We start from the raw sequence: 12,203 nt of genomic DNA on the forward strand, positions 1-12,203 counted from the left end.
GCTTCCTCATGCATAAGGTGGGGAGAATAATACCCATCTCACAGACTATTGTGAGGAGTAAATGCAGATAACATATATTATGTGCACTTGGTGCAATGCCTGGCAAGTACCAGGCACTCAATAATATATATCACGTGATCCATGCTGTTGTCACAGTTATGGACAATTCTCACTACAGCCTCTTTCTAAATTTCATTCCAGTCTCACCCCAGCTACAAAGTCTTCTTTTCATGCCTCGTATTGCATGCTCTTGTTTCAAAGATAGTGTCTAGCTCTATAAAAAGTGTACATAACAAGATCTAACCCAAGCCAACAGGCACAATAAGGCCACCGTTAAGTGAAGGTGGTAGAGTACACTGCAAACCCAGACAGAATGAAGCCCAGGTAAGTGAGAATTGTGTAAAGTCAGCTTGTCTGATTTTTCCCACTGTGGAGACATCAGAATCTTGACTCATAAAGTCTGGTATGGTTCACTTGTCCAAGGACCTACATATGAGAATACCCTGATATGTTATTTAATCATAAAACCTGAGAGGCTCGTGGAAAACAATGGAATCTTAATTCTATAAGGAAATCTACATTGTATAAAATTTGTAATAAATGACGCGTAGTCTCTAGCCATTCCTCACTGAGGAATTGGTGATCATCTCTTAACAATGACTTTGAGCAAAACAGTTTCACACTGTCTGGTCACAGAGAGACTTTACTTTCTGCTTAAGCATTTGCTATTAATAGAAGTATAATGCCACCATTGACGGGGTGGACTGTGATGTCAGACTGCCTGCAGTGCTAAACCCAGTGCCAATATTTGATAGGTGAGCAACTTAGGTACATTATTAACAATTTTTTTTTTTTTTTTGAGATGGAGCCTCACTCTGTCACCAGGCTGGAGTGCAGTGGTGCAACCTTGGCTCACTGCAACCTCCAACTCCCTGGTTCAAGCAATTCTCCTGCCTCAGCCTCCTGAGTAGCTGGGATTACAGGAAAGCACCACCATGCCCAGCTAATTTTTGTATTTTCAGTAGAGATGGGGTTTCACCATGTTGCCCAGGATGATCTCTATCTCCTGAGTTCGTGATCCGCCCGCCTCGACCTCCCAAAGTGCTGGGATTACAGGCGTGAGCCACCGCGCCAGGCCCATTGTTAGTATCTATTTTTGCTTCAATCTTATCAAAAGTAAATGGGATTGATAATAGTACCTGTGTCAGAATATGGTTGTAATCATTTATCATAAATAAATTTATTGATGATAAGGTAAACCACTTAGTGCCTGGCACACAGCAGGCAAATGTTTAGCTAGTTTTACTAATTTTTAATCATTATAAATTATTAATTTTTTACTTATATTCACTTTAGAAATTTCAGAAAACAGTGGAGGGGAGAAAGTTTCAAAACTTCTGCTATGGAATATCTCGAAATGGCCACTTTAAACATTTTGAAAAAGTTCTCTTCTAAAATATACAATTGTACAATTAATACCAAAGTGTATATGATATTTTATAACCTAATTTTTTCCCATCTAACCACCAATTATGGGGTAAGGGGGGATGTCATATTTTTTACTTAATCATACTTCATGGGAAAAATCTTTGTCATTATATATTCTTCGAAACATTATTGTGCCTTATGCAGAATACTACATTGCGTAGGAGTATTTCTTTAACTATTCCTCTATTACTGGCTATTTAGGTTTCCAAATTTTACTATTTAAAAAAAAAATGGTTGAACATCCCCTCATGTTTGTGCAAGTCTGTGATCTTTTCTTTAAGATAAATTCCTGGGAGTGGAATTTGTGATACCCAAAAGGAATAAACATTACTGAAGCTTCTGATCTATTTAATGGGTTTCTGTTGGGATACATTGCTTCCCCTAAAATGCTCTTTCAAATTCTGGTTGGAAATATGTGATGCTATGGTTCTTTCTCTCTCTAAGCAATAGGATCTCTCATCAGTTCCCCCATAAGATGTACATTCTCGGTCGGGCGCGGTGGCTCCTGCATATAATCCCAGCTCTTTGGGAGGCCGAGGCAGGTAGATCACGAGGTCAGGAGATTGAGACCATCCTGGCCAACATGATGAAACCTTGTCTCTACTAAAAATACAAAAATTACCTGGGCATGATGGTGCATGCCTGTAGTCCCAGCTACTTGGGAGGCTGAGGCAGGAGAATCGCTTGAATCCAGGAGGCAGAGGTTGTAGTGAGCAAAGATCACACCATTGCACTCCAGCCTGCTGGCAGAGTGAGATTCCACATAAAAAAAATTTTTTTAAAAGATGTACATTGTCTTCTGTGTAGCAATAGAAAGGCTTTTAAAACTCTCCCTGATTAAAAAAAAAGAATTCTTTCCTGTTGTCTTTGAGCTGGAATTGAATTATGCAAATATATGAAATCCACAATACTTATTGCGCCACCTCTGGCAATAGCATCCCTAGGGGTTATCTTTTGTTCACTTGGAGATCAATATTTTGTGTATTTCATTTTGGATGCTCAGGTAGAGTAAACAGCTTCATTTCTCCTCTTGCCCATTTCTCTACTTTTTTTTTTTCACATTCTGGACTAGTGTGTTACTTTCTTTATAGGCAAAAAATAAAAATAAACACATGAAATCTCTAAACTCCAACCCATTTAAAGACTGGTGCATGTGTCAATTTCTTATGGTGTCCCCTTGCGGTTAAAAGCAATCTCAATGCCTTACCCCAACATTCAAACATAAGATCTAGCCCCTGCCTAACTCTTCAACTGTGTCTATGCTTCTCTCTCTCCTTTGCGTACCAAATTACAGTTATGCTAAACATTATGCAGTTCATTGAACATTCCAAGTGCCTTCTGACACTAGGCTATTCCTGAGCTGTTCCCGCTACCAGAAAGGCTTCTGTGCTCCTCCTTGTCATTCAGATCACATTCGAATGCTACCTCCTCACCATCCTTGCTTGCCCACACAAACTTAAGCTGCCTCTCACTCATCCTTTCTAACATCACTCAATATAAGTCTTTGCAGTGCACTTGCCATGCTCTGATCTTATATATTACCGAAATCCTTGGACTGTTTTCTTCCCAGCTGTATTCCTAGGAACTAGTGCCCGGCACGTCGTAAGTGCTCCATAAATACTTACTGAAAACTTTTGTTGAATGAATTATGAAAAATTTACTTATTATATCCTGCTGAAAATCTCCAACAGAACTCAAGTTCTGTAAGAAGGAAGGGAAGTGTTGTAATGAGAATAAGGTGGACCTCTGTAAGAAGAATGAATGTCTGTTATACATATAGCCTTACTTAGGAAACCAATGGTGAACAGAACTATGGATACTGGATAACAGGAGAGAAGTGTAGGGACTTTAAAGTGGCAAAGAAACTCCTTTTGGTTGTGAAAAAATGCGTGGATGGAGACAGAGACAGGAGTTGGAGAGAAAGAGAGAAAGGAAAGCAAGAAAGATAAAAGGGAGGAAGGGAGAGAAGGAGATAGAGAAAGAGAGAATTCAAAGCGAGTCTTTGAAATGCTATATGGCTGAGATCTTGCAGAGGCACAAGCCACATGTCAAGGGCTTACAGAAAATTGGAATGACGTATTATAGGGCCAGGCAACCAAGGAGAGTTTCAAGGGGGAATATGAACTAAGCTTGTAGAACTGGTGATTTTTTTTCCTAGTAGAGAGAAAAAGAAAAGAAAGCATAGTCACACCTCAGCAAAGGTAAGTAGAAAGAAAGTGCATGGCTCGCTCAGAGAAATGGCAAGTCATTTTGTGGGGCTGGTACATGAGGTACAGAAGGAGACATGGAGGGAATCCTGACTGCTAGTACTTATATATTTGGCACATTCATTCCCCTAGAGCAGTTCCATGGCCTGGCCAGTTCTGACCTAAAGCAAGAAGAGAGGGCAGTCACGTAACACATGTTCTCATTGGTCTCCCCTTTCATTTATCTTTCTCTTCTTCTCAACATCTGTAATGAGATACAATTCACATACCATCCAATTCATCCACTTAAATATATGATTCATTTTAGTATATTTGTAGAGTTTTGCAAACATCAACACTAATTCCAGAGCATTATCATTGCTCCCCCGAAAAAACCTGTACCCATTGTCAGTCATCCCTCATCCCCACCCCCAAACCCCTGACAAACTCTAATCAACCTTTTGTTTCTATGAATTTGCATATTCTGGACATTTCATATAAAAGGAGTCCTGTATTATGTGGTCTTTTCTGATTGGCTTATTTTAGTTAGTATAACGTTTTTAAGGTTCATCCAAGTTGTGATATATATCAGAACTTCATTCCTTTTTATGACTGAATAATATTCCATTGTGTAGATATACCACATTTTATTTATCCATTTATCAGCTGATAAACATTTAGTTTACTTCTACTTTTTAGCTGCTTTGAATAATGCTGCTATTAGCATTCATGTGCAAGTGTTTCTGTGGACACATATTTTTAATTGTCCTGGATATATACATAGGAGTAGAATTGGTAGGTCATATGGTTAACTCTGTGTTTACCGTTTTGATGAATTGCCTGTTTTCCAAAGTGACTGCACTATTTTACATTCTCACTAGCAATTCCTCCACACCCTTGCCAACACTTACTACACCTGTCATTTTGATTACAGTCTTCCTAGTGGATGTGAAGTGATATCTCACTGTGGTATCTCATTATAGTTTCGATGTGCATTCTCTAATGACTAATGATGTTGAGCCTCTTGTATTTCACTTACTGGCTATTCTATTCTGCCCAATCTATTCTTTACCAGGTAGCAAAATTATAGTCTTTAAACTATACCTGATCTCAACATTCCCTTGCCCAGAACTTTACATAACCTACCCATCATACTCAGACTAAAGCCCAAAGCCCTCTCACATATACTAGGCCCTGCATAATGTTACAACTTGCAGTTATTTTACTAATTGGCATGTTTCATTTTGGGGTATGTGTCAGTCTTCCCATTCAGAAGGTCAGAAATAATATCTGCCTGTCCTCCGTGAATTTCCATGCCTGGAACAATGTCTCCCATATGGTAAAACAAATGCCTACCAAATGCAAGAATAATTAGGAAATTTAAAAAATATTTTCTCCCAAATATAGCTAGATAATATACAATAATTTGCTAATGAAAAGTGATATATACATGTGTCCTTCATTTATTTCAATGGAATAATAATGGTGTACTAACTCCTCTCATAAAAAATATCTACTAGCAGATCTAGAAGTAGAGAATGTAATGAAAGTAGACCTACTTATTGTAGTTCATTCAATTCAATCACAGTCTCCAAAACGTACTGTCTGCTGCTGTGGTATTTCAAAACACCTGACTCATATCCACATGCTGTACATTTGCCACTCAGCAATATTTTTTTAAAAAAAGAATAAGTAAATCAGGTAATAGCTCTATTACCATTCTGTAGATTAATAATGCAGGTTTTATTGCATAGTTTGGTATTGATGTGTTTATTCTGATTCTATTAACAATGAGCGTGTACCAGCCAATGTGAGCCTGTGTTTTATTGTATTCCATGGACATTGTGTTTCTCCCTTAAGTGATCCTTTTGTTCAATAAAACATAAAAGTCATTTTCAACTATGCTATAAGGTTTAAGTTTCTTTGGGGTTATGAGGTTGTCATTGCCATACTGTGAGAAATTAGTTCAAAGTGATTGGAAGTTAATAAAGAAATTATTCATGCCATGTGTTACTTACAACGAAAAATCATCAGTTTGATGGCTTGTGATCTTTTACATGGAAAACAACTTTCTTCCTTTGCGTTTCTAAATGTATGACTTTGGACATTAAAAACAAAACAAGGAGTAGTTTCCACCCAATCCTCGCTGACCTATTCCTTCCCAGAGCACACTTTTCTACATATTTGTCCCCAAGAACTCACCTTATTCTTGAATGATTTAAACTCAAGTTTTGTCTCCCCCATAAAAATTCTAATCAGTCCACTCTATCTTATCTTCAATTCTCCACTTTTTTCCAACCTCTCTGTCACCGCTGTGCTCTTTCTTTCCTGGATAACTGCAGCCACCACAGTCCTGCACCCCTACCTCCACTTGAGCTCTCCTCCATGCCGTGCTCTACCAGCAAGTCAGATCATGCCACTCCCCACCTTCGGTAATGAAGGGACCAATGAATGAATGACTACCCAGAGAGAGAGAAGCAGTAATTCTAATAATTGTCTTCTCATATGTATAAAGCATTTGTTCATATTTTCAATACAGTGTTTTGATGAAGTAGGTGGGAATTATTATTATTATTGTTATTTCCATTTTACACATGAAGAAATTGAATCTCGGGCATTGGGATGATTTGCTCAGGGTTACATGGATAGCTGGAAGACAAACAGAGCCAAGATTCTAATTTGGAATTTCGAATTCCCTGTCCTGTGCACTCTTCCCATGGCAATGTGTTTTCTCTGCTGCCCCCCTCACACACACACACACACGCACTCACACACACGCACTCACACACATAAAGGCACGTGCATGTGCATACACCAAGGAAAAAGATCGAGGGTGCCTAATCTGTTGCAAAACAAACCTAAAAGCTATTTATGTTTTTCTGTATTCATACAGAGGAGCAATTGCTTGAAAATCTGTGATAGCAAAACTGTACAAGTGGGAGATTATTTCATTTCCAACATATAACCAATCATGCTGTCCCCAGAACCGCCCAAGAAGAAACTCCCAATCTCGGAACAGGCACACGGCTCGAATTATCAGAAAAGCCGTTGAGATAAGACATGCATGATCTCCTTCCTAAAGAGGTACCTCAAATTAATGTTCAGCTGAGTGTATCTAGAAAATGAGAAAGGTTAAAATGCTCCCTGACACTTTTCTTCCTTTCAAGTAAGTTATTCTATGAGGCAGAGCTCTTCATAAGGCCTATTTTTCTTGTAGTCCACAGAAGGAACTTAAAACACAATAAAAGAGTGCTCTGTTGGGTGGGTCAAAGAGGTTAAAGCTGAGAAAAGAGACTGGAGAAAAATTTTTAAATAAAAAATTAAGAATTATAGGGTATCCTTATACCAAATAATACATGTTAGAACAGAAAACTGGCAAGGTACATGGTGCCTTGAGACTATTTCACTGTGACTTCTTATTTCTCATAAACCATCTTAATCTCCTTTCTCACCCAGGACAAGAATGACAGCCACGTCATCTGGAGAAGGCAGCCAGGGAAGTAGTCAAGAGAAAACACTTCTGTGGGTGACTTGAAGAAGCTGGTTACCATATGGTACATTTTCTATAACCCTGGTCAAAATAAGCTCAGAAACTAATGGGAACTAAAGGGTAATCAAATAAAATTATCCCAGACCAAGAAGCTAATTGCAAAAAATAAAAGGGATGAATCAGGGCTTGAGTCAGAAATAGGGAGTCAAAAGCTCTTCCCAGAGACCACCCTCCTTGCTCTCACTGGTAGATAGTTCCTCTTCCCCCTTCCCTTGACAATTTCTGCTTTGTTAGTGCCAAGCCTCTCCCAATTCAGTTCCTCGTGTGTCCTTTGAGTTCTAAGGAATGAGGAGAAGAGGCAAAAAACAGCTCTCAGATGCCAAGTAAGTGAAAGCCAGGAGCACCAATCTGCCAGAACCTGTCTATACTCCACTCCTGACAGAAGTCACTGTCTCCTGTATCCCCCACTTTCATCAGATAGAAGGACATCTCTGCCAGTTCTTTAAACATTTCATATTTTTTATTCGTTTAGACCTTAAAAAATGTTTATTTCCTCTTTCTGGAAGGTTTTGTTTTTCTTCTCATTGCCAACTAATCATTCAGGTCTTCACTTAAGCTGCAATTCTCCACCTACCTTGACCCTGCCCCCTCCCACCAGAGCAGATCAGCTCACTTAGCCATACTCTCATGGTACGTATCACAGAAACAAAAATCACTAACAAAGTTATCATAATTATTTACTATTTGTCTACCTTGTTAGACTGGACACTCCTAGAGGGCAGGAACGTGATCTCATTTTCCTCACTCCTGGAATCCCAATGCTTAACTCACTGCCTGGCACATAAGTGCTTGGTAAAAGGTTGTTCTTCCTTTTGCTACTGGTCACCTTTCAAAATCTCTGCATTACATCATGTCTCAAATTGCAGCTCAGAGAAGACTGACTTGGAAATGAAACACAGACAAACAGAGGGAGGCTGCCAGACACTAGTGACTAAGATACAGCAGGGCTGTTCACCCTCCATAATAACCTACTGCACCAACATGTACTACCATCCCTCCTATTCCATAGGCAAAAATCTCGGAATCTTTCATTCTTGATGCCTGCCCTTGTCTTTCCCTCACCTTACACCTAACTATCACCTAGGGCTGTCTATTGTTATTTTCCATCAATTGATTGCCAACCACTGTCCTAGCTCCCTGTCACCATACTAGACAAAGCCACCATTCTCTCCTAGAGACAGCCTAGCCTACTCCTGTCTCACTGCTTCCTTCTTGCTATATTCTCCTCCATTCTCCACTTAACAGCCAGAGTGTCCCTTGTGAAACATCTACCATGTCACCGCACTGCCTTCTGTTGATGTTCCTTCAATGACTTCCCATGGCTCTTAGGATAATGAGCAAAAGCCCTAATCAGTCTGTGAGGCCCTCGCAGAGATGCCCACTGTGCATGTAGCTCATCTGCCTCAAATGCAGCCAGTTCCCCATGTGCTCAGCTGCTCTGGCCCTCTGACTGTCCTGTGGGCCATACCAAGCTGTTGGTGTCATATGGCCTTGTGCTCACTGCCTCCGTAGTCTACAGTGTCCTCTCACACCCTTCTCTCTCCCATTAACCCCTGCTTCTTCTTAAGATCCTAGCTCAGTTATTCTGCTGGGAAGAATCTTTTTATCACATTCCTTCTCCCAGTCTAGAGCCAGTTTCATTCCTTTACAGGGCTTAAATATGTTTCTAATTGTTTCTTATTATGCACCCACTCAGTAGAATTGCTAAGAGTAATGCTTATCTTTTGGACCAGACTCTAAATTCCTGGACAACAGAGACTTGATAATGCTTGCAGTTTCATCTTCAACATGTAACACAGTGCCTAGCATAGAGAAGGCACTAAGTAAACTTTTGTTAAGGGATAGATGGATGGATGGATGGATTGATGGATGAATGAATGAGTGAATAGTCTGGGCTGCCATTTGTCTATCCTCTAAACCAGGAATTACAAAATCCCCATAGGGGCCAAGCAGGCAGAAGAATGCATGAATTATGCTAGGGGTTAGTAAAAAGGAGTTGTAGAGCATGCAATGAAATTTTCACATTTCTTTTAAACCCTAGGTTGTTGGCCAAGCTTTGCTGGCTTTTTTGCAGCTTTCTGTTCCCGCAAGTTACTCCCCCAAATCCTACCTATTTTAAAAGCAACTCTCACAGGAAGAAAGGCTTGGTAGCCAACAGATGACCACCACATTCTCTCCCCCAAGACGTCTGATTTCAGAAGGCAAGTTCTGTTCACAGGAAGGAGAGTATCCATACAAGTCCAAGTTCAGTGAGAGGGGCTGTCCCATAACCTGGAAGCCAAGGACTAGAATGCCCTCATTCACTTATTCTGATTCATAAAGTTTAAATTACTAAAAGAGGTTAACAACTTCAACATGTGGCATAATCCAGCCATTCATTTGTTCAAGAAAGAGAAAAAAGTTTAACTTTGTAACAATAATACGAACACAAAAACATTTCCTGGGAGAAAAAAAAAAAAAAAATGTGGCTTTGAAATTCTGCCTTTTATCTTCCTGGGAAAAGCAAGAGCTTACAAACTGGAAAAAAAAAAAGTTTCTTTTTGGTAAACTCACAGGCCTTTGGCCACTGCTTCCCTTCCACCTCAATTTTTTTTTTCTGATCTATGCATTGACCATGCAGAAATGTTCAAATGAAAGCACCTGGTCATTTTTACTTATCTTTCTTATTTTTTCTAGAAAGAGGCCTTGATATATTCTAGGTTCGCAAGTGATTTTGCTAGATTTTTGCCATTATGAACCTGTTTCTCTTTAACTGCAAACCACCTGATTCTGATTTTCCCTAGCCATAAATATGAATTTTTACTACATTTTATCTGAGATTCACAACTGATGGGCTATGAACCAAGAAAAATACAATGGGAGGAAAGAAAAGATAAAATTATTGGGCAACAACTACACAGAAGATGAAACAACCCTCAGACAGGATATAAAGGAGGGTGAACAGGGTAGTCCCAATGAAACAGAATGAAGAAAACCATTTTCTTCATAAAACTATAGCAACAGCAGTATTTACCTTTAGTGTTGTTGCTACCCAGAAGAAGAAAAGGTATCTTGGCATTTTATCAACCATATTTTTATGTCCTGCCATCAAGAATTTCTTTTCACTGCCTGCATATATTTCTTAGTCATAAAAGAGGGCAACCATTTTCAATGATACTAAATCCATCTACTCCCATATATCTGGCCCAACACAACTCAGACATTTTTTTAACCAGCCTTATGAAAAGATGTTATGAAAAGCTAATGACCACCCAAACCTGAGTATAACCATCCAAACATTTTAGTGAAAGGACAGGATTGAGAAGAATCACTTGACTAAAGAAATGCCTACAATGGGCTGGGCCGCTGGCTCATGCCGGTAATCCTAGCACTTTGGGACGATGAGGCAGGTGGATCACCTGAGGTCAGGAATTCAAGACCAGCCTGACCAACATGGCAAAACCCCATCTCTACTAAAAATACAAAAATTAGCCAGGCGTGGTGGTACACGCCTGCAATCCCAGCTACGTGGGAGACTGAGGCAGGAGAATCACTTGAACCCAGGAGGTGGAGGTTGCAGTGAGCCGAGATTGCACCACTGCACTCTAGCCTGTGTGACAGGAGGGAGACTTCATCACAAAAAAAAAAGAAAGAAAGAAAAGAAAAGCCTACAATGTTAAAGGTTATGCTAACATTTACAGCCAAAGGCAGAAGGGCAATATATATACTATGATACAAAATATTTAAATAGGAAAAGTTCAACTCACCATATATACACTCTGTACATGATGCCAACCAGGTTACTTGAAAGTCACACATTAAAACAGCTGTCTTCACATTTGCTAGTTGCTATCTAATTTCTATAGGGTATTGGTCCTGTAAAATTTTTCTAATATATGTTATTGTTTTATTTTTTTATCTTTTAATAGAAATTCAAGAATGAATATTTACTGCCTATATCTGACAGAAGAATCCCATTTCTCATGAGAAAATCAATGGATAATACTCAGCGTTTCTTCAAAACCAAAACTTCCTTTATCAAAACCTGTAGAACACAGGTTTCAGCAAACTTCGTAAAATATTCAGATCAAATTTGGGTTTGTTATTGATTTTCAGGGGGATTAATCTCTTTTATATTAAAAGCTCATTTGGTCACAAGTAATGGAAATTCATTGTGTCTTGCTTTGGAGTGGGGAATGTGCAAGAACACACTATGGAACTCAGAACGGAGGAAACTGTTCAGTACGGATGAGACCCAAGCACTAGAAAGCCAGAATGAATCAAGACTGCCAGTCCCGGATCTCCCCAATTCTGCCGTTGGTGGTCTCTCCTCTCTTCACCTCATCACAGCTCACTTCACTCGTTTCTTTGTAGAAAGGCTTTCTCTGTCACTCTACGCATGCGTGACAGAAACAGGCCCCACCCCTGTCTCTCAAGACCGCAGATCCCCAAGTCAAATGATTAGACAGACTCCCTTTCCTGACTCTAAATTTCTAGAGGGAATCCAACGGACTCAGCCTGGATCAGCTGTCCACCTGAGGCCAATCAGCTTTGTGCAGAGAGGCAAGTTTTCATAGTAGAGCAATCTGGAACTACTCAGGCAAATTACATCTATATATATATATATATATATATATATATATATATATATATATATATATATATATATATATATATATATATATTTCCTATGACCTAGGACTTCTACTCCAGGGGAAATTTCACAAAGATTCATGAAAAGGCAGGGGTACGGTCTTTGTACACGTTTGTGGGGGCAAGAAATTGGACGTCCATTACTGGGAGAGGAGATTAGGTAAGCAGTAGAGGTACATCACAGAGCATTATGCAGCAGGGGAAGCAAAGGGCTACACACGGCCCCACTGGAGTTCTTTGTTAAGCGCAGGGCTTTGTCACACACTATAGAAACTTCAAATGGGCAGACTAGAAGGTCTAGGGAGAAGGGCTGCAGCAGGATATTGGATGCTCAGTTGCCTTTTATT

At 39.6% G+C, this 12,203-nt stretch overlaps 1 long non-coding RNA gene across 2 annotated transcripts in view; it reads left to right on the forward strand.

Annotated features, from left to right (window-relative positions):
• Positions 1-11,365, forward strand: part of LINC02040 (long intergenic non-protein coding RNA 2040) — an 18,565-nt gene extending 7,200 nt beyond the window's left edge. Inside the window, exons 2-5 of one of the 2 annotated variants that reach the window (NR_183715.1) lie at positions 6,568-6,758; positions 7,131-7,228; positions 9,266-9,425; positions 11,133-11,365. This is a non-coding gene — a long non-coding RNA (long intergenic non-protein coding RNA 2040). The remainder of the gene's footprint in view (positions 1-6,567; positions 6,759-7,130; positions 7,229-9,265; positions 9,426-11,132) is intronic. The other variant, NR_183716.1, reaches the window with a different exon arrangement.
• Positions 11,366-12,203: the final 838 nt, after the last annotated feature.

Source organism: Homo sapiens, chromosome 3, assembly GCF_000001405.40.
Source record: "Homo sapiens chromosome 3, GRCh38.p14 Primary Assembly".
Lineage (NCBI taxonomy): Eukaryota > Metazoa > Chordata > Mammalia > Primates > Hominidae > Homo > Homo sapiens.